Raw genomic sequence first — 26,299 nt, forward strand, 5'->3', positions numbered from 1 at the left:
CTGAGGCCTTTATTGCAATTGCATTGTGGTTAAATTTTTTCTTTTGCCCCATCCCACCTCCATCACTTTCTTACAAATGTCATTCTCAAGTAAACCTCATAAACACAAATATTTGTCTCAGTATTGTGGGGAACATGATCTAAGACAAAACTAGGAGTAGTCCTAAGAAGCTGACATCAGCTCCCAGCCAACTTAGCAAACCTACAATCACATATCACTCAATTGTTTTCTGGATTGCGTAGTTTTTGACAAGCAATCTACCTTCATTCTTACTTTTTGTTACTCTGTATATGTTTTGTCTCTGGCTACTGTTAAGATTTTTCTTTTTATTACTGGTTTCCAGCAACTTGATTATATGTGCCTTGGTGTGGTTTTATGTTTTGTTTTGTTTTGTTTTTTTTTTATTTTTTGCTTGAGGTTACTTTAGCTTCTGTGAGTTTATGTTTTTCATCACATCTAGAAAAAAATTAGTCATTATCTTTGGCCAATAATTTTGTGTTCTTCCCCTTCCTTCTCAGCCTCCAATTGCACATGTTAATGTTTCATGTTTTTACACAGCTCACTGAGGCGCCTTTCATTTTTTTTTGTTTTGTTTTCTCTTTATATATTGTTTTAGTTTCTACTGATATTTTTGAATTCACCAACCTCTCTTCTGCTGTATCTAATTTTCTGTTAATCCCATTCCATGTATTTTTTTCAATTTGGATACTGCATTTTTCTTTTTTTGAATTTTATTTGAATCCTTTTTATGTCTTCCATTTCTATTACTTTATTTCTGATTTCTTTTTTATCCTAGAATATTATATTTATAATAACTCCTTGGAAGTTTGCCTGTTAATTCCATTACCTCTACCATTTCTGGGTATGTTTTGATTGATTCATTTTTTCTCCTGACTCTGTGTCATATTTTTTGTTTCTTTGCATGTCTAGTAATTTTTGATTGGATGATCAACATTGTGATTTTTACATTGCTGAATGCTGGATTTTGCTGTTTCTTGAGTGGGAAACTTTGTTCTGGCACACAGTGCTACTTGAAGACCAATTTGAACATTTTAAGGCTTGCTTTTAAATGTTAGAGTAAATCCATAGCAGCTTTTATTCTAAAACTAATTTGGCCCTGCTACTAAAGCACAACCATGTTGAGGATGTCACCCAATGTCCCCTGTATTACAAGCTTTCTCCATTTTGGCTGATGGGAATGTTAACTATTCTTAGCCCTGTGAGACCCAGGAACTGTTCACTGCTTTCCAATCATTCCTTCCTTGGCTTTGTTACATACTACTCAAGTCATTTCCTTTACCCCATGCTAATTAATACTCAACAAAAACCTCTAGGGAGGACTACTCTGCAGATCTCTGGAGCTCTTTTTCTTTGCAGCTGCCTGAGTGATTCTGAACTCAGTCATCTTTGGTTTCTTAATTGCAGTGAGACCACTGGGCTTTATTTTGGTTCCTCTGCTGGCAACTGCCTTCAGGCAATAAGTTGGGGAAATCACAAGGCTCATCACCTGTTTTCCCTCTCTTGGGGATCATAGCCCTGCATTACCTGTAGTCCAATGTTTGAAAAGGGTTGTTTCATATATTTTAGCTCATTTCCTAGTTGCTTATGATAGAAGGGACAATTTGGAAGTCCATTAATATACATGAAGCTATGCTTTGGTAGAAAAATTGTGAGTTTTTATAATGAGCAGAAGTCGAACAATACTTTTACTTGTCTAATAAATTCTGTTTCCTCACTACACATTCTGAGAGGTTTTCAGAAGACATAAAAACAACTAACATATATGTTTCTCCCAGTTCTGAGAAAACAAAAAATTCTTAATAGAAGTTAATTCTGAGTAAATACATAAGTCTGAGTTGCTGTACTTACTGTATTTAGAACTGTTAAATTAATTTTGGTGAAACGATTTTCTTTCAATTTAATTCAATATTAAAACTAGCTATCCTTCATTTCTTTCCCAGAAATTCTTCAACAATACCACCCTCCCCCCCACACACACACGCATGCATGCACACACATTCTCTCTCTCTCTCTCTCCACTTTCAAAATAAAAGGGTGGTATATCTCTTGGTCGTACAGATTACCAGGATATAAAATTCCATAACCATCTTTCATTTCACCAAAAACGAGGTAAAGAAAATATTACCACTGATAGGGTAGAAAATATATTGTGAGACACAAGAAAAGAAACTTGATAGCAAAAGAGTTTTAATCAGTAGAGATCTTAAACTCAATACAAGGCAAGAGGAAAGGACATAAAAATCAAGCGTGGGCTTGCTAAATTCAAGATTTAAATATATTGCCTTTCTTTCACTACAATCACAACTCAGTTAGGTAGATACTTTAATTCACATTTTACAGATGAGAAGATTCAGAGTTTAAGCTTCCCAAGGACAGAAAGGTAAGTCAGTGGGAAATTCCATGTACATTCCATTACTAAATGCCACATAACTGTTTGGATAACATAAGAAGAGTGGGTCATTATATGATACCAATTAGAAGATATTAGGGATGGTGGAGGCAGTAATTTCTGGGATAAGAACTATAATTTACAGAATAACCAGACATCATCTGATCTGGTGAAACCTGTGCATTCCCACAATTAGGCTTTTTCACACTTTCTCTCTTTAAATGTGCAACACCTTCCCCATCCCCTCTTTACTTGTAGCAGTTGATTTTGCTTCTTATATCCCGAGAAAGCAACTACCACCAAATCTACCAGTCAACTCATCTATATTTGAACTTAAAGATCTTTATGTTAGAATGGAATCTATCCATGTTCCAGCTTAGGCGAAGCCCTTCTGAAGATATCCATTCCTTCCTTCCTCATCAAATTTTCCTTCTTGACTAGATTAAAAAATTTCAACCAGTAGGCATAATCAGAACCTTTGTCTCATAATGAAAAGATAGTTAATAAGGCTCATCAATTGTCCGTAATTTTGTTTTGGTTCATGTCTGTCCAAAGCAACAGAAAGGACCACATTTTTGCTAAGATCTCTTCTAGTGCTATAATCCTAGGTGATTCTAGTAAAATATTTATAGAGTGCTTATTCTATGTGAGACACTGTGCTAACACTTTACATGCATTATCCTGCTTAATCCTCGCAATCCTAAAAAGAGGTACTATTATAATATTCATTTTATAGATAACAAAACTGGGGCTTAGAGAAGTTAAGTAACTTGTCTGAGTTTACTAGCTAGTTAATAGCACAGTAGGATTCAAACCTGACTGGCAGAGTTTGTTATTAAAGCATTGTACCATGTATTTTGTAATCTCAATTGCATGTACATTAGTGCAAATGAAAGTTGCCTGCCTTTATTATTTATATATTTGTCTATAATACAAAAGCAAAATTATATTGTTACAAAACCCCAAATAATTTTAATCTCAATTTGCAACATAATCCACATTTTACATATCTATAAACAATAAACGTTTTAGTATTCAAATGCCTTAGAAAGAATTCATTTTGGTTCAATAATTTTATAGCCAGGATAAAGTCATATTTATAATTTATAATTTTCTGTCCAGGTTTTTAATAAAAATCAGTAATGTTAAATGGAATACTATCATTTTATAGAGAAACAGTATGAAATTACATTGAGAAATGAGAACAGTCATTAAACATTAAGATTTTATTACAAACCATGCATTATATATTTCTTTACACTTAAGGAATAGATATGAAACAATCTTGGAGTAAAAATTAGAAGGCAACTTGCTTCAAGTTTGTACCAAGTCAATCAAGCAGAAACCTGAAGAACCTTGTTTTAAGATGAGAGTCATTTATACTTGGCAGGCATTTTCTTCCAATGAAAAAATAAAGTCAATGTGCCATTATCTTGACACTTATAAAAATGTTTATAAAAAGCATTTAGGCCATTGATTCTCACAGTTGGCTGAATATTGGAATCACCTAGATTAAAAAAAATACTAATCCCTATACAACATCCCCAAAATTCAGATTTAATTAGTGTAAGTTAGGCCCTGGGCATATAGGCTGTTTTAAAATTCCTCGGGTGAGTCTAATGTGTACCAGTTTGAAAACCACTAGCTTAGAGACCTGTTCCATCATCATAGAAGTCACTCTTTAGCTGAATGATTCTATATGCCCTGATTTCAGTGGGTAGTGTTGTTATTTTAAACATCTGATAGGTGTATCTCCCTTGATTAAAAAATAAATACCTTATGGAAGAGATTATATGTTTTATTTATCATTGTCTCTGCATATCTGGAACAACGAAAGGCACATAGCAGTTGCTAAATAAATATCTTTTGAATGAATATATGATTGCCTTATACTTCTTTTATATCCCCATCTTCTAATAGATTATGAAAACTAGAATTCAAAATATATATACTGAACAAATGAATGACTGAAGCAATTGGGGATAATATTTAAGGCAAAACCAAATCTGATAAAATATACACATATTTTAAAAACACATACATATATATAAATAGATCAAAAGTGGAAAAAGAATATATAAAAGAGTGCAACATTTGGCAGCTGAGAATTATTTCATTGAGTTTTCAAATATTCTTCACATTCTTATACTTAGAAACAAAGAAGTAACCCCAAACAACTAATTCATTAGCTAATATCTCAGAACTTGCACATTTGCAGATAAATTTTCTTTTAAGAACAGAATTATAGTTTAATCCCTAACACAGCTCAGTTTTCAAAATTCAAGTAAATAAAATTTTAGCACACATCATGATAGCCTTACTGGATAGCTGTGTTAAAAACAAAAAGTATTTGGTATCATCTATTGTTATGTGCTCTCAATTGAGATCTAGTTAGTTTCCTAAGAGTCTCACATTGATAACTATTTTGGCACTTCCTTACATAATGTGTTTATTTAGAAATACCTTATTAATGACAGACTTCCTTTTGAGTAGCTACATTCTCAGATATGGCTTCATTTATCAAAGTTCCACAAGTATTACATAATTTTTAATTCAGTTAGTTATCTTAGACTACGGAACTTTGGTTTTCTTAAAATCAGCATTGGTTGCTTGATTGTAGGTTTGTCACCAAAAAGTGCTGCTTCACTCTCCGTGGTTGGAAATCTTTTCTGATATATCAAAGGATATTCCTTCTGAAACTTAAAAATGAGGTGAGAAATTAGAAGGTATTTAACATTATTTCCCAAGCTGAAGCAGTGCTCAACATTTTATAAGAATTCAGTGTTTTTCTCAAAGACGTAGTATAGAGATTAGTATCCTTTCATTTTATCCTTGCCTTTCCCTCTCTCTTCTCATGTGAATACTATAAGATCTCTTAGATCTCATTAACATTAACATTTTAGGATTCTTTCTCTTCCGATGTTAATTCTCCCCCTAAATTCCAGATCTTCTTTCCCACTGATAAAACCTATGAAGGGCATAGGCATCTAGTATTCATATTTCTTTCAGTGTCTCAGACTTAGAATTAGACATGCCAAAATCATGTGGCTACTGGGCTTTCAGAGCTAAAAATTCTAAAACAGTGATAAGTCACTCAAAGATACATATCCATACCTTATAAATTGCTTTCCCAGGCTAATCCAAGCTATAATTATACAAAATACCAGTGAAAAAGGAGAGTATATATTATTACTGTTGGTATTATTTTAAAATTCAGGATAAAGAGCAAAATCAGGTAGGTACTCACATGTTTTAGGTTAACGCACATATACAAGACATCATAATATATAGTCTATATAACTCAAACTTAAAATCTAAAATATTAAAATAAGAAAGTAGATTCTAAATGTTATTAACAACCAGGAACAGCACATTAGAAAATGTTTACATGATTGAGAACTTGCTCATTCTCTTACCTGTTTTAGTTTTTTTCTTTTCTCCTTTAGAGGTAAACTCCTGTTTTTAATAATATTTTCTAAAAGTTCTGCAATTGCAGCTTGAGAGGTAGAAACTTTTTGCTCATCAAACTCCTGAGCACTAATCTGCTTACAGTATGAGTAAGTTGGCAAAGGAGCAAATAGTCCATCTCCAGGATTTTCAATCTGTAGTGATCAAAATGATATAACTCTGTTAATTCTGGTCATGTTCTTATATGATAAAGTATTCTTTTGATGGGATCTAGCACCTATTAATTTACCACCAATCAAACATTCAGCCATTAAAAAAACTATGTATTATGCAGTAGAGGTATGTAAGTCAGTAGGTTCTAAACCCCAGCTCCATAATCTACTTGGTTTGTAGCATTCAACAATGTATTTAACTTTTCTTGGTCTGTTTCTTCATCATTAAAATGGAAATTACATAAGAAAATGTATAGAAAGGGCTCAGCCCACAATAAGCATTAAATAAAGACAGGTATTATAATTATTACCATTAACTATGGATTTTATTCTTTTAACTATAAAATAACAATCTAAGTGTTATTCTAATTCATCTTAAGACTTTAATGTTCTGACAGTGCAGGTAGTAGATGATCAGCATATTTACTGAAATGAAATATTTTTAGTTTTCATGTATTTTTTTTTTTTTTGAGGCCTAGGGACATAGGCAGAGCTTCTAACATCTTCTGATAAGAGAAAGAAATTCTAGGAGATAGTTATAATTATAAGCCAGGGCAATATTAGAATGGTATGTATGGGAAAAACATAAACATGTGTTGGGCAGCCAAAGACAGAATACAGTAGATGTCTGTTATTTTGGCTGCTCAGTATTCCTTCTCTCCTTCTTTTAATAGTTCCTTCCCATTTTACCCCTCTACCTTCACCTTTTGTGAAGAATAAATTCTCCTTTGTGTAGAACCAATCAGAGTAAGGCCCTATCTCCATCCTACTCACTCTTAACAACCTAAACGATGCATATTTAACCTCAACTATGCTAAGAGTCTACATCCAGAGCTTTTAAATTGGAGACGGAGGAATGGCTCTTTTTCCTTTGAATTGCAAATGTAAGGCTCTAACTCATGAACTTCAACTAGCCACATTCCTCATCATGTGAAGGAGCCATTGTCAAACACAGGATCAACACAGAAATAAGAGATGGAGGGATGGAAAGAGTCATATAGCTATTTGAGTCCCAGATTCTGTCTACATTCCTGACTTTTAGAGGTTGTTTATGGGAGCTGATAAAGTCTCCCTTTTTGATTAAGCTATTTTGAGATGAGTTTGCCACTTGCAACTGACTATTGCAGAGAATTTTAAGACTCACAATACTTACATGTCCCTTTTTTAAGTAGTCAAGATGTTTTTCCACTGCAGTCTGTAAGTAAGAGGGTACTTGAAGAATTTCCTGATGATGATCCATTAAGAAAGAAACTAATCTTCCAGCAAGAAGCTCATCAAGATCCACTTCTTCAGCACAGCATAACACACATCGAGAAAAGGTATGTATCATCTAGAAAAATATTAAAAGATGTGAATTTAAAAAGCTAAGGTTGCATACAAACTAGAATATCGGTAATTTCCAGGTAGCATTATGTGAAGTATTGGGAAAAAGTGGTAAGCAGCCCTCAGTTTAAAAATGAGGACAACGATTTATACAGTTAGAAATGTAAGAATTTGATTATACATAAATCCTTTTTAAAGTTTTTCCATGGCTGAGCATGGTGGTTCATGCCTGTAATCTAAGCACTTTGGGAGGCTGAGGTGAGAGGCTCACTTGAGGCAAGGAGTTCGAAGCCAGCCTAGGCAACATAGTGAAACCCTATACCTATGAAGAAATAAAAAACTAGCCAGGCATGATGGTGCATGACTGTGGTTCCAGCTACTTGGGAGAGTGAGGCAGAAGGATTTTTTGAGCCCAGGAATTCCAGGGTGCAGTGAGCTATGATCACACCACTGTACTCTAGCCTGGGAAACAGAGCGTGATCCTGTGTAACCAGAAAAAAAAAAAAAAAGTATATCCTTAATGTAATTCCCAAGAATTATAAAAGGCTTTGGTTTTTCTACAATTTTGTCACAATTTTATCAGTAAACACCATAGGTTCTATTAATACCACATATATATGTTGCTTAAGCTTAAAGATTGTCAGAGAACAATAACTAATTACATTAAATGAATCCCACAGAAAAACACAAACCAGGAGAATGTGTAACATATAGAACACTTCTATTCATAAGTGGTTGCAAAGCTGATGCCATTTAGCTTTTGAAATGCTGGAAAATAGTTTTTAAAAATGTTTATTCTGTCAGTCTTTAGACAGCAATTTAAAACACACATTTTTCAATTCCATCTTATGGGATCTTCAAATCCTGGGATAAAATTGATTACTCTCACTTATTACTCTCGTTACTTTCACTTATATCTATGCAACCCTCTAACTGTACCACACACACACACACACACACACACACACACCCCTCATTCTAAAATACTTAGAAATCAGAATTGTTTTAAATATTTCACACATAGTAGATGATCAGAATATTTATAGAATTGATACATTTTTAGTTTTATTCCTACACATCACTCGGGGTTTCCTGTCTCCTTCCATGGCTCAGACCTCAGCCTTTTGCTCTTTCTTCACACTCTTAGCCTTGTAGAGCTCATCTACTCTCATAGCTTCAAGTACTATCCCTATGTAAATGACCAAATCAATTTGCATTCTCCCCTGATCTTTCTTCACCTGGCTCATATTTCCAACATTCTGTTGGACAAATTTCAATTTCTCTTGGAGGTCCTATGACTTCAAATCTTAAAAGTGCAAAACCAAAATTATCACCTTCCCAGTCATGTCTCTGAAAACATCTTCCTCTATAAACTTCCTAGCTTTTTAATAGTGCTATAATTACTCAAGAATAATTCTTCTTCTTTATATTAGGTCTGTCATTGTTAAAGAACTATCTTTAATAACGCGTGGAAGAAAGCATAACTCCGGATTCCTTGCTATAAGAACCTCTTGTAAATTGAAGTTGCATTTTGAGGAAGTGGTGACTTAAAAAAAAAGAAAGAGATTAAAGATACTATTTCAAGAGTTCATTTCCAATCAATTGTCTGCATATAAATGCCCTTATCCTCATTTTCACAAGGAGCCTAAGGCTGTTTGGCAATAGTGCTTCCCAACTTCTTGTCCACGATGACCTACTTTTCCATTACTATATTCTCTGAAACACTGACTTACTGTATTAAGTTCCATTAGTTCTCTGCGTCCACAGTTATAGTCTCCTTAGGCTTTCAACAGTACCTACATTTCTTCTTCCTTATCCACCAAACAGAATTGGCACAAGGCAACATAACGTGGTCTGACTGGTCAATCACTATGAAGTGATTCAGGATGAATGAGCAGGCAAAGTCCTTAGCCAGGATTAACATCAGCATGTGAAAGTATAACAGAGTGTGCACAAAAGATTAATACACCAAAATTCTGCTGCTAGGAAAGGTTAAAGAGCCTTTCCAACCTAAGAATCTAGCACTTTAAGACTAAGACATCACTTGAGTAGTACTTTTACGTAGTTTGGTTTTGTTATTTTGGTTTATGAATCAGACTTATTCTTTCTATAAGAAATCAACTTACCAGTGACCTCGTACCCATTGCATCATGAAGTTTGGGCATATCAACATTTTGACTCATTCGGGAAATCATACGCATTAAAAGTTGAAGCTTTCTACGATTTGGTGGGGGAAGTAACAAACAACATAACTGTAGAGCATCGATGGCAACCCTCTCTAAATGAGGTTGCAGCAAGCCTAGAATACAAAAATACCCCCCCAAAAATCATCAATGACACTAGTTGCTTTCATACTACCAGTATATACAGCTATATAAAGAAGGTAAAATAATATCTTAGTATTTCATCTTTTAACTATTTCTAGAAATTACGTTCCTCTAAAGCATGGTAAGATTCTCATTATTTTCTTTACAACTTATTTCTAAGTATTAAAATTCTTCACTTATTACAAATAAAGTGACTCAGAATAAATGAAATTGCAAAAAAGAAAATAAGTTCCTTAGGTAAACAGAATAAATCTTGGTTATGTCACAGACAAAAGTCTTTTTAAATAATTCCTCTTGGAGGAAAAAAAATTAAGCAACTTCAAGGAAGAAAAGCCAGGTAAGCAAAACACAGAGTTAGTAAACACTCAAAGTTAATATTGCATGCATTGAAAGCAACAGCCTTACTTTGTGTGCCAGTCAACATAGAAGAAGCTGGAAGTAAAGAATTTTCTGAAAGTTCTATTGTACTTTTGCAGAGTCTTTTATTGATTGTGGCACTAGACTCTCCGAGTTCACTTTCCATAGCTGTTTGCACACTTGTGCTGCCTTGTCCAACATTTGGTTTCATGATAATTTCAGCCACTGGTGTATTGATATAACTATTCCTTCTTGTACTACTTCTTAAAAGCAAACTCTGAGACCTACAAAGCTGTTTTGACTTGCATTTCCCATTACACAACTCCTCTTGGTCTTGAACAGTCAAAGTAGAGGTTCTCTTAAAACCAGCACTGAATGGCTTTTGAATATTTTCCTCTGAATGAAGATTCAACAGGAATTCCTGTTTGGGCTTAGACTCTAAAAACAGTTTATTATTTTGTCCTTCTATGTTCGGAAAAGATTGATGAAAGACACTGGATGCCTCTTTACTTGAATTCCCTGGCACATCTACAATTCCTTCCAAAGAACAGCACCTTGGTTTGCTGTTAGAGGATAGATCATGCATATTACTTAACCCTATTAAATTATGACAACTTCCTCCCATTATGTCATTAGCACTCACTCTTCTGTTTCTTAAATTAACTAGCTGCATTTTCTTAGCACATCTTTCTTGAAATCCTGGATTGCTTATCTGTAGTCTCTCAGTAGAATCTGATTCTTCTTTGTTTTTTTCTCTATGAAGCAGACTGAGAAGAAGGCACTCAGTTGATTTGAAGGAATTCAAATTGTTTAAGTGAAGGAATTTTGAAGACTGTGGATCATCTTGAATTTTATGTATCCCACTGGATCTATCTGAAACTGTGATGTAGCCACAAACAACTACCAGGAAATGAAACAAAAATTAAGATGCAACTGTATGACAGTGGACAAAAATAAAACAAAAACAATAGTAAAGTTAAAAAATAAAGCATTACTATAGTATATATTGTTAGTATAGTATACACAGTAGTTGCTTAATTCAGAAGCCACTTAAATAGGACACATGCAACATTCGGTTACAAACGTGCAAGACAGATGAGTGGTTTTCCCATTTGTAATATAACTTTAAAAAATTATTTCAACAGCCTAATTAAATGGATTGAGCCAGAATACATTTAAAAAATCTGTTCTCAGTCTGCAAGTACTAGAAACCTCATAAATATAAGATAATTGTGGTATAATAAAATACATATATTTGATCTTTGTCCTTGGTACCTGGTATGGAGCTCCTAAAATCCTTGAAATTTCCTGAATGATAGAAGTCTTTAGTTACTCATAACAAGCCTATTTCAGCGTATCTGAGTTCATGCTAAGGTAACTGAGGGCCGGCCATGGTTTGAATTTTCATCACCAACTACAACCTTGTGGGAGGAGAAAGGGGCTAGAGATTGAGTTCAATTGACAACAGTGACCAATGATTTGGTCAGTCATGCCTTGGTAATTAAACTTCAATTAAAACTCTAAAACATGCAGGCTGAGGGAGTTTTCTAGGTTAGTGAACACATGGATGTGCTGGGATCACGGCATGACCAGAAAGGGTAGAGAAACTCTGTGCCACCCCCACCCTCATACCGTGCTCTGTGTAACTCTTCCATTTGGCTATTCTTGAGGTCTAGCTTTTATAATAAACTAATAGTCATAGTTAAAGTGCTTTTCTGAGTTCTGTGAATCATTGTAGTGAATTATTGAGTCTGGTAGGGGGTTGAGGGAAGTCCCGAATTGGTAGTTGGCTGGGCGGAAGTATGAGTAACCTCGGAACCTTATTTCACTGAATTTTAAAATAATTTGTAGGCTGCCACCTTTATATTTACCTATGGTTTTAGATCTTCTAAATTATAAGAAAGTTGAAAACTTTAACAAAATGAACTAAAATCAGTAAAATCTATACATACCCAAAATGTTTACAAATAATTCGTAATATTCAAAAGTAAGTAGAGGTTCAGGGAGATCTAGAAAATAATCTGCGATTGTTCTGAATACATCTCGTTCAAATCCAACATAAGTTGGATTATTCATATCATTGCTTCTTGGCCCTAAGAAGTAGAAGGCAAGAGAAAAAGGTAAAGTATATTTTAATTTAAATACAATTTTTAAACATAAAAAGTATAAAATCTGTATTTCATGAAGGAGCTAGGTTTAACAACAAATTCTGCCACAGTTCAAAAATTTAAAGGGTGTATTTCATTCTTCCTCATTATCTTTCCACTGGAAGCAGTCAATTGCTAGTATTTTGTTTAACATTTGTATACCTGAAAAATCATACATAAAGCAAAATTTTAATATCATTTTAAAAGCATTAGGGAAGCTTAGTTTAATAAGATTTTATTGTAATTCATTTTGTAAAGGAAAGAATATTTGGACAACACAAATAATTCCTTCAAATTGTCTTTTTGTAAATTTACATGTTCATGAATATATTTTGTCTGACATGAAGCATAGCCTTAATGAATTTAAATAATATCTTTACATTGTTGTTTCTTAAGCTTGACACAACTATTGAAATAATCATACCTACTCATTTGTGTTTTCCTCAAAAATAAGATCTGATCTCATTTTATAGATAAGAAAACTGAGGCTGAGAGTACCTTGCCCAAGATGAAAAAGACTCTGGTAGCAAAGTTTGAATTAGAAGTTAGAGCAGTGTAAAATAAGCACAAGGCCCAGGACTTTTAAAGCTACAACAACATTTAAAGTGTGGTTCATAGATTATATCACAGAATCATCCAATGTGCCTATTAAAAATACAAAGTCCTCTATGGAGACCATAATCCATGAAGGCGGGGCCAGAAATTTACTGACCTAGAAATGTTTGCTTCTGGTTCACTGAGTGTTTTCCAAACACTAACCTGAGAATCTTCACTATAGTAATCTTCTGGAGGCATATATATATATATATATTTTTTAAAGATTCCTGACCTACAGAATCTCTGGAGAGTCTCTTTAGTGACTGTGGTATGCATCTAGGTTTTAGAGCCATTATACTATCTTTCAAGTTAAAATGTTTCTCTTCCCAAGTCCAAATAATATTTCTTACTTCTCTGTTTCCAAACTTTTGTATGGACACACAAATGTGAGCACACACTGAAAAAGAATTAAAGAAAACAATTCACACACACACACACACACACACACACTCTTAACAACAGAGCAAAATAGATATTTTTCTAAGGACATAAGAAATAGTATGTGGAATAAAAGATTTGATAATCATTAGAAAGTTCTCTAAGACAGAAAATACATGTTTACAGGAATTAAAAATATTAAAAATATAGAATTTATAGAGAATCTAGGTTTGAGCTCTAGCTCATTTGCACTAAAAGAAGATACTCTAAGCTTTGGCTTTCTCTGTTGGAAAAATTGGGATGGTATACTGATTACTAATTCCTACATCTCACAGAATTACTCTGGGGGATCGAATAACAAGTAAAGTAAGTCTTAACACTGCCTCTGGCTAAATACATTGTTGCTAATTTGGAATCCAGTAAGTTATATAATTGGTATCGTTTAGGTATTACATAGACTGAAACGAGAAGGAAGACAGAATCCCTGAAGACCAGATGTCAGAGAAATCCCTGTCAGTATGCCTATCTGAATTCCTAACCATGAGCAAAGGAATGAAAGAGAGGAATAGCTAACTATACCTGGAAAGTAGAAAGACAAATTCAAGTCTTAAGTTCATAATAAAGATTTTAATCTTAATTTGATAAAATGTTTCTGTAAATATATTTAATTTATTGCTATTTATTCAATGTCATTTTATCATATTGACACCCAGTGGACAACAAAGGAATATAAAGTTACCCTGAACATTAATAAAACCCTATTAGCATTTAGAAAATGCTAATTTTGTATGAACTAGAAAATTATACTTGTAACTATTAAAACATAATTTAGCTTTTGATGATTTAGCTTATATCTTTGTACATTTAAAAAATTAACTTTGAAAGCAATTAGGATTTTGTACTCATACTAGGGTTTTATGTTACAAAAATCAATTATCACTGATCACTACGAAAAGCTTGATCAATTAAATGCTAAAAAAATTTCTGGATTAGTGACTGATAAGGTTTGGATCTGTCCTCACCCAAATCTCATGCCAAATTGGTAATCCCCGGTGTTGGAGGTGGGGCCTGGTGGGAGGTGATTGAATCATGGGGGTGTATTTCCCCTTTGGTGCTGTTCTTGTGATACTGAGTGAGTTATCACAAGATCTGGTTGTTTAAAAGTGCGTACCACCTCTGCACACAACCTTCCTCCTGCTCCAGCCATGTAAGACATGCCTGCTTCCCCTCCACCTTCTGCCATGACTGTAAGTTGTAAGTTTCCTGAGGCCTCCTCAGCCATGTTTCCTATACAACCTGTGGAACCATGAGCCAATTAAACCTCTTTGCTTTATAAATTACCCAGTCTCAAGTATTTCTTTACAGCAGCACGAGAACAAACTAATACAATGACAGATAATCTTTTTTTTTCATAACATAAAGTCACATTAATATATCTAGTATTCTATGCTTCTACACTATAGAAATACCAAGGAGTTCAAGCCATTTGAACTCTGAGCCTCACTGAGGCAATTAGTGTGGATTTCACTTAAAAAATCCTTTGAGATCCTCTAGGCTATGACTTTATAATATATGTGAACTAAACCATAAATAATATGCTTGAATTAAAAAATCGCCACCTTTCTAAACAGAAAAAATTAAGGGCTCCATAATGTAATAAATTCCACTAGACTTTCATTTATAAATAAAGAGAAATGATATACTTTAATTTTATCAGGACTTTATTAAATTTCCTTGGTTCTTGTTAAATACTATCAATATAACACACACACACACACACACACACACACACACACACACACATATATTTAACTTACAATTTGCTAGGCACTTCATGGCAGATAATACCCAGTGAGGGAGGTCATCTACACAAAAAGAAAAATATTACTAAGTAAACCATACATTTTTTATGATAGTATATTTTAAAATATCACACTTACGTGCAATTATATATATGTATATACACATACACATACATGTTACATTTGTATATGTGTGTATTACCAGGATTAAAAAGTATTATATGTTTAATAAGACACAGGATCAAGTCAATATTTTAAAATAGAAAAAGTCTGAAAAAATTATGGATTCTGAGTTTGATTCATATTACACATAACAATTAAATACTGCCAAATTGAGGATTATTTTGAGGGAGTGTTTAGATATAAACTCCACGTTCATTTTTATCTACTACCACTATCTTTTCTTCATCCTTGTTTCTATTCTGCCTATTGCTATGCTATTTGAATATTACTGATTTGGGTGAGACCTAAGATTGAAATGAACTGTATCTCACTATTATGCTGCTTTTATAGTGAAGTTTGCTTAAAATCTTTCGAGTGCCACTAAATAAAATATGTTCCATAGAAATCTAGCATTTTTTTTACACAGGGTTACAAAGAATAGAAATCTTAAATGAGGGAATATACTGTTAACCATATTATTTTAGGTAATGGAAGAAGGGACTGGTCTACAGCCACATACATATGCCACATAGCAAACTCATCAGTTTTAACATTTACCTTTTGCTCCTACAATTAAAAACTCAAAGTTCTTGCCCATAAAAAGAAAACCAAAGTAGCATATGTCAGTTAATTCCACAGACAGAAACTTATCATAAAAACATCAGCTACGATTTTGAGAGATTTATGGATACCTTTCTCATAATCTAAGTTTTCTAATACATCTATCTAGCTTGAATTATTTCCCTGATTTTTGTATCTAAATCTGAAATCAATCAACTATATAAATATATAAAACAAAAAAGCCAGTCCCTTTAGAATCCTCATCTTGAAAGTCTGAGCTTATTTTGTTGTGTTATTACAGTTTTGTATATATGTTTGACTCCTGTTAATTTGTACATAACTACTCATGTAAGCCTCATGAGAGTATGGACCATTTCTATCTTACTTATCATTAATCTTTAGCACAATCTCTGACGTGTTGGAGGCCCTCAACAAAAATGTGCTTAATCAAAACTTTTCTTATATTTGTATACCTTTTGGATGCTTAACTTTGTCATTTTTTTAAATACCATGCATGAATTTATCTTAGCAGACAAAATATTTCTTATACTAGCACGAATAATACTCACTTAAAAATTATTCCACTGTTATTACTAAAGAACTTATGATAGCCCCTCTGATGCTCCATGAAAGTATTCTACTTTCAATATTTGGGTCTCTCTTTACACTACTATAGCTGCAACCTTGTTGGCAAGTTTTTAAAAGTCCAATTATTTTATTAATACCAACCTGATTTGTTTTGTAGTATAACTACTCCACGTTTACTTGTATTGGCCATGTTGTACATTATATATTGGGGAATTACTTGTTTTGGATTTATGACTTCTTCTAGGGATGGCACACCTAAAATGGTTTGCAGGCTAAATAGAAGAAAGAATATTAACTTTTTTTCTTCATAAATAGATTATACATATGAATATGACTAGTAAACAAAGCCATCAGAATATTTTATTTTTTTAACCAAATTTCTAAGACTTATATTTAGTATCCCCTTTCAAATACATTTATCTCAATAATCTTAAAAGGATTCCAATATATATCCCAAACTATGGCCATAATGTTGATTCAAAGAAAAGGTGAATCATACCGAAACATTCAATTTCTACTCTACTAGAGCTATAACAAGAGTATTTATTTAAAAACACATATACAGGTTGCATTCTAAGCTTTCAGAATTAATCTGTTCTGATTCATTTGCATATTTTGATGAAAATGTCAAATTAATAATCAGAACACATCAGGAACTTCATTAAAGCTTAATTTTATCTTACTAGATCAGAATAACATATCTCCAAACTTCTTCAACATCTTCCTGGCTTAGTTCTCTATTATCAATTGCATTTTCTTGATCTTCATTGATTATTTCATGCTTTATTTTCTCGCCATTTTCCTGAAAAAAGGATTATTTTGGTTTAATCTGTTATGCTCAAATTTTTTAAATATTGAAAGCAACAATAATTCTATTACTATCAGTCCATTGTGGAGCTATAAAGTATCTCCCAAAGAAATAATGTAATATGGTAATGGAGTTTTTAATTTTGCAGTTGTCCCTACCACCCTCAAATCAATTTAAACCAAAACACACTTAAATTATATAACTGTTGTTTTCAATTATGTCTCACTATCATTTTTATTATTCTTTCTATGGGTTACAAACAATTTTATATATACATATTTAGAATGTAATGTAGGTTAGGAGGTTTCAGTTCTGGCTTTAAATATTAAAGAATAATTTACTTTTAATGATTCTATCATTGAGTACATCATAATTATATTTAAACTAGTAATTAGTAAAAGGATGTGTTACCTGAGATAAATGTAATCCATGCCTTTTAGGAGTTCTACGAGATAAGTTTCGTAATTTAAAAATGCTATCTTTATCTTTGGAAAAGTTCTCTATGTTGTTTTTTCTCAATTCTGGATACCTTCGTGGTAGAGTTTTAAGTGGCGAAGTTGCAGGAAATCTGGTTTAAAAACAATAAGCAATTAAATAATGTGAGATTAGAAACAAACTTTTAGAGCCTATTTTTTTTTTAAAATTCACATAAAGAGCCTGACTTATTAATACTACCAAGTAATAAAGATTCTAGACAAATAAATTTTCCCATTAAACCTTTAAAAAAAATAGGTTCCTTTTTTCTTTAGTATATTGTGTATATTTTAACTTTATTTCTGGATAATTCAGGGTTATTATTAGGGTCAATTCTGGTAGAGGGGTATTGCTTACACACAAAATGGCTCTAGAATGCTACATTTTCTAAATTTCTTTGATGAGTTATCTAGTTTGTATATTCCCTCTTTTGTTTGTGTTTGTCCTCATTTCTGGAACTTAGTTTCTATTGCTTCTTTTGATTGTAATGTTTTGGCCTCCTTTTATTTTAATATAAAATACTTCAAAGATATAATAAAACAATACCCATGTATGTAACTGGCAACCAATGTAATTGTTGACATTTTGCCAGACTTCTCCTTTAATTTTTTTAAACTTTTATTTTAAGTTCAGGGGTGCATGTGCAGGTTTCTTACATAAGTAAACTTGTGTTGTGGAGGTTTGTTGTACGGATTATTTCATCACCCAAGTATTTAGTACCCATTAGTCATTTTTCCTGAACCTCTCCCTCCTCACACCTTCCATTGTCCAATAGGCCCCAGTGTCTATTGTTCCCCTCTATGTGTCCATGTGTTCTCATCAGTTAGCTCCCACTTGTAAGTGAGAGCATGTGATATTCAGTTTTCTGTTCCTTAGTTTGCCTCCACCTCCATCTATGTTCCTGCAAAGTACATGAACTCATTCTTTTTTATGGCTGCATACTATTCCATGGTGTATATGTACACATTTTCTTCATCCAGTATACCACTGAGGGACATTCAGGTTGACTCATTGTCTTTGCTATTGTGAATACTGCTGCAATGAACATACGTGTACATGTGTCTTCATGACAGAATGATTTATATTCCTTAGGGTATATACCTAGTAAAGGGATTGTTAGGTTAAATGGTAGTTTTGGTTTTAGGATTTTAATGAATCATTATACTGTTGTCCACAACTCATATGGAACCAAAAAGAGCCCAAATAGCCAAGGCTATCCTAAGAAAAAAGAACAAAGCTGGAGGCATCATGCTACCAGAATTCAAACTATACTACAGGCCTGTAGTAACCAAAACAAAATGGTACTGGTATAAAAACCAACACATAGACTAATGAAACAGAATACAGAGCCCAGAAATAAGGCCATGCACCTACAACCAACTGATCTTCAGCAAAGCTGACAAAAACAAGCAATGGGGGAAATGATTTCCTATTTAACAAATAGTGCTGGGATAACTGGTAAGTTACATGCCGAAGATTGAAATGGGACACCTTCTTACACCATATACAAAAATTAACTCAACATGGATTAAAGAGTTAAGTGTAAAACCCAAAACTATAAAAAACCTGGAAGAAAACCTAGGCAATATCATTCTGGACATTAGAATGGGCAAAGATTTCATGATGAAGATGCTAAAAGCAGTTGCAACAAAAGCAAAAATTGACAAATGGACTGTAGTTACATGAAGGAGCTACACAGCAAAAGAAAACTATCAATGGAGTCAACAGACAACCTATCGAATGGGAGAAAATTTTTGCAAACTATGAATCTGACAAAGGTCTAGTATCCAGCATTTACAAGGAACTTAAATTTAAAAGCAACTCCATTAAAAAGGGGGCAAAGGACATGAACTGACACTTTTCAAAAGAAGACATATATGCAGCCAACAAGCATATGAAAAAAGTTCAATATTACTGATTGGAGAAATGTAAATCAAAACTATAATGAGATACCATCTCACACCAGTCAGAATGGACACTATTAAAAAACAAAAAAATAACAGGTGCTGGCAAGGTTGCGGAGAAAATGGAATGTTTATACACTGTTGGTGGGAGTGTAAATAACTCCTTTTTTAAAAAAAATGAAATTCTTTGCTCATTCATATCTCCCTCTAAGGGAGAGTAAAATATAAACTTACAGTTTCATAAAATAAACCTATAGTTGTATTTCTTTTCCATGCTTTTATACTTTTAATAAATGTATATAAACAATATGTGGTTTGGTGTTTTTTCACTTTATCATATCTTTTACCATATATCAATTTTTTTTTCTTCTCCAAGTTTTACTCTGTCACCCAGGATGGAGTGCAGTAGTGTGATCACGGCTGACTACAGTCTCAACCTCCCGGGCTCGGCCTCCCAAGTAGATGAGACCACAGGCATATGCCACCATGCCTGGCTAATTAATTTTTTTTTTTTTTTTTGTAGAGACAGGGTCTCCCTATGTTATCCAGACTGGTCTCGAACTCCTGGGTTCAAGTGATCCTCCTGTCTTGGCCTCCAAAAGTGCTGGGATTACAGGTGTGAGCCACTCTGCCTGGCCCCATACATCAAATTTATTCAAAAAGTTTGTAGTGACCTCAAAAGTTTGAACACCTCAGAAGTTTGACCTTGGTCTTCAAAATTCTCTTAGACTTTTACCAAATGAATTTTAGAATCTGCTTATCAAGTTCCACAAAGAAACTATATTGAAGTTTTGAATGAAAATGCACTGAATTTCTATTTCAATTTGGGAGGAATTGACTTGTATATACATGTACTAAGTATTTTCATTCATGAACAGGGTATCTTTCTCCATTTATTCTATTTAATACAATTTAATACTTTTCTCCAATAAGGTCTTACACATTTTTGGTAAACTTTATTTTTATGTACTTTATAGTTTTGTTACGATCGTAAAAGACTAGGAGAGGCCGGGCGTGGTGGCTCATGCCTGTAATCCCAGCACTTTGGAAGGTCAAGGTGGGTGGATCCCTTGAGCTCAGGAGTTTGAGACCAGCCTGGGCAACATAGTGAAACCCCGTGTCCACAAAAAATTCAAAAATTAGCTGGGCGTGGTGGTGTGTGCCTGTAGTCCCCACTACTTTGGAGGCTGAGGTGGGAGGATAGCTTGAACCCAGGAGGCAGAAAAGACTAGGGGCAGAGAGACTAGTTGAGGATTTATGCAGAAATCCAGGTAAAACAAAAGCAAAACAAATAAAGAGAAATCCAGGTAAGAATTATAGCCTAACAAAAAGAAGATTCATCTTGGAGAGAGATGTGTACAGATCAGAGAACTACTTAGGGAGCACAATAGACTAAATCATATTTAAAGGACAAGAAAGGGAAAGAATCAAGGCAACTATAGGGAAGGCAATGCAATTTATTCAGATAGGAAACCTAAGAAGACAAAACTTAGGTTAGAGGGTGATAGTCATTTTTCTATATGGTTTATTTGAAGTGCCTTTCCAGGAGGCAGATGAAAAAACATGGGCCGAAAGCTCAGGAAAGATATTTCAGGAGAGGCCTGAAAGTCTTAAGAAAAGTAGGCGAAGACATGGCATGAGATTGCCTAGGGAGAAGGTGAAGTAAGGACAAGGGCAGGAACTTGAAGATGGGAGAGTTAAAGGATGAGCAGCAGTAAAGGAGCCCACAAAGATAACTGGGGAGTAGTTAAGAGAGGGAAGATTTGTAGAGTGCTATACAAAATGGATTATTCATATGATTGTTATTGTAGTTTACTTGTATGACATAAATCATTTTTGGTACATAGGAAACAATAAATTCTTAGACATTTCATTTGAAAAGTACCTAATGTTGTAGGAAAAAAAAAGCATGGGCATTAGATTCCACAGGCCTAGTTTAATGGATACATAACAAAGAACCGTAGGTCATAAGAGAAAAAGCAATTATGCTGACCTGTGGGAATCAGAAAAGCTCCACAGAAGAGGCTATAAAGGAGCTGAGATTAAAAGAAATGTATAAGTTTACTAGCCTGACAAATGTGTACAGTGTCTCACGGTGGAAAAACATTTCAGGCAGACAGAACAAGATTTGTTGAAGCATGGTCTCAGTTTCCCCATCTGTTAAAAGGGGTTAATACCTACCCTGCTTGGCTACTATAGCAATTAAGTAAGAACACATATGTAAATCATCAAACAGAGTTTCTGTTATATCTTAACTGCTTAATAAATATTCTCTTTAACCTGTGGTATATTTCTTCTGTTATCATTGTTATTTTTTGAGATAGTCTTGCTCTGTCGCCCAAGCTGGAGTGCAGTGGTGCAATCTCAGCTCACTGCAACCTCCACCTCCCAGGCTCAAGCAGTTCTCGTGCCTCAGTCTCAGGTGTGTGCTACTACACCCAACTCATTTTTTGTATTTTTAGTAGAGACGGGGTTTCACCATGTTAGCCAGGCTGGTCTCAAACTCCTAGCTTCAAGTTGATCCGCCCACCTCAGCCTCCCAAAGTGCTGGGATTACAGGCATGAGCCACTTTACCTGGTCCTGTTATTTGTCTGTTATTTATTATGTAAGATTTGCTATTATCCTATTACATGTATTCTTAAATTAAATTATATGTTTGAAGGGAAGGATCTGTGAACTTATAATCTAGAAACTATGCAACTAAAGGTCAGTAATATGTCCTTAAAATGTTATAAAGTGTTCAGAATATGCGGAAGTGATAATACATCAGTATTTCCCTTCCAATTCCCTACTTTATTATATATGCTAACACTTAAAAACTTTAAATTTTGTAGCAATTAACTTTCACATTACAATTTTTCTAAATGATTTTAGTTGAACTAACAGCATTAATAGTTTTCCAAAGAAATAAAACTTCTTTGAAGAAGCTGCTGTTATAGTAAAAGTATAATATAAGTAGAGATAAAACTTTACAGTAATTCAGTTTTACAGTTACATATCTGTTCATTACCTGAAGAGCTGGTTGTTATCATCAACATTTTCTGATCCCCACCTCCCTTTGATATCTTCAATTACATGATTCTTAAGAAATTTCCTCAACAGTTGGATAGTCTGTTGCCTTGTAACTTCAGGACCAAAATTGCTATTATTTCTTAATAGGTCATAAAGCCAATCCACTGCTTCTCCTGCTGTGAAACAATTGCCATATTTTTTAAAGTGTTGTCTGTGTTTTCTTAGAGGCATTCCTGCTCGAAAAGATGTGGTAACTTCATTCCACTGTAAAAAGAAGGAAAATATTTTTAAAAAATTGAAGAAAAATTAAATCTCATATTGATTTGAAGTACATTAGGTAAAGAAAATTCTTTAATTCACATCTGATTATATCATAAAAATTCTTGAAGAATCATTCATCTTATTTGTGCCATATAAAATTTTATATCTGGCCGGGCACGGTGGCTCATGCCTGTAATCCCAGCACTTTGGGAGGCCGATGCGGGTGGATCACCGGAGGTCGGGAGTTCGAGACCAGCCTGACCAATATGGAGAAACTCCGTCTCTACTAAAAATACAAAATTAGCTGGGCATAGTGGTGCATGCCTATAATCCCAGCTACTCAGGAGGCTGAGTCAGGAGAATCACTTGAACCTGGGAGGCGGAGGTTGCGGTGAGCTGAGATTGCACCATTGCACTCTAGCCTTGGCAACAAGAGCAAAACTCAGTCTCAAAAAAAAAAAAATTATATCTTACACTGCTTTCTTTTTATTAATTCTAGTGCTGTAGTAATATTTTTATGTAATAGCTTTTTTATTAGAAGAACTTCATTGGCTGATCTAAGATCCTTATTTAAGATCCTGAGCTTATTTAAGAAATCTGGAAATAAGGAAGAACTACAATCAATAGAGAAAACATTCATCCCTGTTTTTTACCTCAATTAATATTAATGTTGGTAGCACTGTGCTTCACATTCATTATTTCACTTTAATTACCCCAATTCTATGAATAGGTACTATTAATTTCTCATTTTTCACATAAGGAAAATAAAGCAGAGAGATTAATAAAATGACCAAGGTCACACAGCTAAGTGATGAACCTAGGCATTCAAACCCAGGTGTGATTGACTCTAGAAACTGATATTGAGCTGCTCACTCTGTACTGGCCTGAGGACACAGTAATAAAAATGACAGAAAGGGACTCTGTACTAAGGGAGATTACAGAACGGCTTTCCTGAGATGCAGTACAGGGTAGTGGCTTTAAGAACAGGCTCTGGAGTTAGACTAGTAGGGCTGGTTTCCCAGCTCTAGCTCTGCCACTATTGTTTATGACTTTTTGGGCCTATCTTCAATCTCTATGCCTCAATCTCCTTAACCACAAAACAGGGACAAAAGGACCTAACGAATGGGCTTATTGGAATGATAAAATGATGTAATATATGTGAAGTACTAGTAAGCATTCAGTGCATGTTTTCTTTTTCAGCGTGCTTATACTACTTTCATCTAATGGGTTTTAAATAATGTGGCAGGACTACTGATTGAGGTTCCTTCCTGTCCTAAATTCTATCCTTCATATTGGTAAATATAGCCAATAACTTACTAAGTAGCAGAATCCATGTAAGATCGCCATACCAGGAAGATCTGAATTCTAGCTCTGCCACTTGCTGTTGATGTGACTCTAGAGGGCATTTAACGTCTGTGAGCCTCAGTGTGCACCTGATAAAGTAGGGCTAATAATACATGCTCGTCTGAAGGGCATTCCTAAGAGGAAAATGCTTGTTATTCTGCAGATCACAACACACTTTAAAAAACAGCATCCTCCTGGGAAACCCCTTAAGGCAAGCATGTATTAGTAACCTTTACCAATGTGGAAACAGGCTCACAGAAGGTAGGGGACTCACCTAACGTCACATAACCAGCACCACAGTATCCTATAGAACCGAAGACCCAACTGCACAAAACGCGTTAGGAGTGCTGTACGTGCAATTCAGGGACCACCAGCAGTGGTTACTGATGGGTACTCAGAAATACCGTTTTGAAACAGGCAGCTGTTATCCTAGTGCTATTCGGCCGATACATCCTGCGTTAAATTCTATGGGTTCAATAAACAAAATTGCCACATTCGGGCTTGCCCCCCACCTAACCCTACAAAGCTTTGGACCTCATTCCCAATTGTTCCCTAATTCTGAGGCGGGTAGAAAATCAGGCGAGGTGAGCGGCCAAATCGGAATATTCTAAGACGCCCCCACGGGACGCCGGCCACACCAGGCACAGGAGTCGCTCCTCATAGCGAGTCTGGTGCGGCCTACGCGCGGCGCTTCCTTTCGGACCTGAGGCCCAGACCCTCAAAATAGAGGGAGCGGTGAGTCTGGCAAGGGTTGCATACCCGCTACTTCTCCTCGCCAGCCTTTTCACTGAACCTAGGGATCCTGGGACTCATCCCTCCGACCGAGGTAAAACTGCGAACGGTCGAGGTAAAACTGCGAACAGTGGTGACTGCCGTCAGCCCGCTGACCGGTCCCGTCTATCCGAGCTGTCTTACCAGCTTGGTGGCCCGATAAGGCCCGGGAGGCACACCCTGACTCTCCATAGGTCTGTCAGCGCCCGGTGGCGTCCATGGCGGCGAAGGCGACACTCAGGCCCAGCGGCCGCGGCAGTGGCGAGTCTCGGCACAACCGTTGGCCCCGCCGCCGATTTGAATAGCATAGAGGGCTGCGCGGATTGGCCGCGCCGCGGGTCACGTGACGCCACAGCCAGGCTCGGGAAGGAGTCGGCGAGGGCCGCTCGGCTGCGTCCTGGGGCTCCAGTAGCTGGCGCGGGCTGGGGTGGGCTGGGCTGGCCTGGGACCGCCTCGATGGGACAGGCTCGGGTTTCCCTGGCGCTGTTTCTCCCTCCTGCGGTCTACGGCGAGGCGGAGTCACAGAGTCCTGTTTTCGTGCTCAGAGGGGATGAGCTCTTTAGTTCCAAACGAAATTATTTGGAGTCCAGCCTTTGGTTTAAGGGAATTTGAAATTTGAAAAGACAAGAAAATACGGTTTTTCTGCCTGGCCCTACAGGATCTTCAGCAGTTAGCTTAGAAGGCAAAGCAACCTGATGGATATGTGTCGCAGTTTCTCTCTCTGCTGCCTATCCTCTCTCTCAGCAGGTGCCATGATTCTCTGAAGTGCTAAAATCTAGGTTCAGAACCCCCTAATTGTGCAGTAAAATGGATCATTCAGAACCCCCCAGTTGGGTAATAAAATGGATTATAGGTAGTCTTTCTTAAGTACATACAATGTGGGGCTTGGGAAAGGTTGTGTACAACTTGTCAAATTGCTTCCCTTAAACTCTACCACTGTATAAGAATGTTGGTTATGTTTGGATCGTGATTATACACTTAAAATTTCACTAGGATCTTAGAAAATAAATCTTCAACAGAAGTCAATTTTCAAATGACAAAAACTACATTCCGAGAGTTGAAGAGACTTACTCAGTCTTAGGTCTCCTTGGCAAAGCACAGACTTCATGCTTTTAATAAATACCCTGTCACCAGTCTGAAACTATCTGATGCTAAGAATCCCTTAGTAAAGTGGGAGATTGCTTGAGTGATTTGAAGCTGTGGAAGAATTCACTTGGAAATTAAATAGCAGTTTAAGAGGATAGGATGCAGTAAAAAGAAGAGATAAAGAAAAATGTTCAGGGAGTGGTAGTGTAGGTCTGTGGAGTTTTCCTTAATTTGGGCAGAAGCACATCTATTTTCTACCAGGACCAGTGGGTAGGAATTTTCAAAAACATACTTGGTAAACAGGAACAATCTACTCAATTTTCCACTTATGTTAAGGAAAAGTAAAATGATTGATGTTACAAAATA

General features: G+C 35.2%; 1 protein-coding gene and 2 long non-coding RNA genes across 4 annotated transcripts in view, besides 2 other annotated features; 2 read left to right on the plus strand and 1 right to left on the minus strand.

Annotated features, from left to right (window-relative positions):
* Positions 1-2,191: 2,191 nt before the first annotated feature.
* On the minus strand, positions 2,192-25,122 carry DEPDC1 (DEP domain containing 1). 2 transcript variants are annotated; one of them, NM_001114120.3, is made up of 12 exons: positions 24,992-25,122; positions 22,470-22,735; positions 17,492-17,648; positions 16,956-17,074; positions 16,414-16,544; positions 14,977-15,024; positions 11,990-12,130; positions 10,086-10,937; positions 9,480-9,652; positions 7,184-7,360; positions 5,827-6,012; positions 2,192-5,109 (listed from the first exon to the last, which is right to left on the minus strand). In NM_001114120.3, the coding sequence occupies exons 1-12, from the start codon at positions 25,037-25,039 to the stop codon at positions 4,972-4,974; spliced, it is 2,436 nt and encodes an 811-aa protein (NP_001107592.1). In that variant the 5' UTR covers positions 25,040-25,122; the 3' UTR covers positions 2,192-4,971. The 2 variants fall into 2 exon arrangements, with proteins under 2 accessions (NP_001107592.1, NP_060249.2); NM_017779.6 differs by lacking the exon at positions 10,086-10,937.
* On the plus strand, positions 7,169-11,744 carry DEPDC1-AS2 (DEPDC1 antisense RNA 2). Its single transcript, NR_198991.1, has 2 exons — positions 7,169-7,349; positions 10,801-11,744. It is a non-coding gene; the product is annotated as a DEPDC1 antisense RNA 2 (long non-coding RNA).
* Positions 24,716-26,299, plus strand: part of DEPDC1-AS1 (DEPDC1 antisense RNA 1) — a 41,952-nt gene continuing 40,368 nt past the window's right edge. Inside the window, exon 1 of the long non-coding RNA NR_110671.1 lies at positions 24,716-24,811. This is a non-coding gene — a long non-coding RNA (DEPDC1 antisense RNA 1). The remainder of the gene's footprint in view (positions 24,812-26,299) is intronic.
* Positions 24,803-24,852: an enhancer, noted in NCBI's record as "active region_1184". NCBI's record gives its function as "activates an Ori minimal core promoter by ATAC-STARR-seq in GM12878 lymphoblastoid cells {active_cell/tissue: GM12878}" and the evidence as "EXISTENCE:reporter gene assay evidence [ECO:0000049][PMID:35858748]".
* Positions 24,963-25,022: an enhancer, noted in NCBI's record as "active region_1185". NCBI's record gives its function as "activates an Ori minimal core promoter by ATAC-STARR-seq in GM12878 lymphoblastoid cells {active_cell/tissue: GM12878}" and the evidence as "EXISTENCE:reporter gene assay evidence [ECO:0000049][PMID:35858748]".

The sequence above is a fragment of the Homo sapiens genome, chromosome 1, assembly GCF_000001405.40.
Source record: "Homo sapiens chromosome 1, GRCh38.p14 Primary Assembly".
In the NCBI taxonomy this organism is placed as follows: domain Eukaryota; kingdom Metazoa; phylum Chordata; class Mammalia; order Primates; family Hominidae; genus Homo; species Homo sapiens.

Coding starts and splice junctions, on each gene's coding strand:
- DEPDC1 (NM_001114120.3), bottom strand. CDS start 25,039: ATGGAGAGTCAGGGTGTGCCTCCCGGGCCTTATCGGGCCACCAAGCTG. Junction 22,736..24,991: donor CTTATCGGGCCACCAAGCTG/GTAAGACAGCTC, acceptor TTCTTTTTACAG/TGGAATGAAGTTACCACATC. Junction 9,653..10,085: donor TATGTTGACTGGCACACAAA/GTAAGGCTGTTG, acceptor TTTGTATTCTAG/GCTTGCTGCAACCTCATTTA.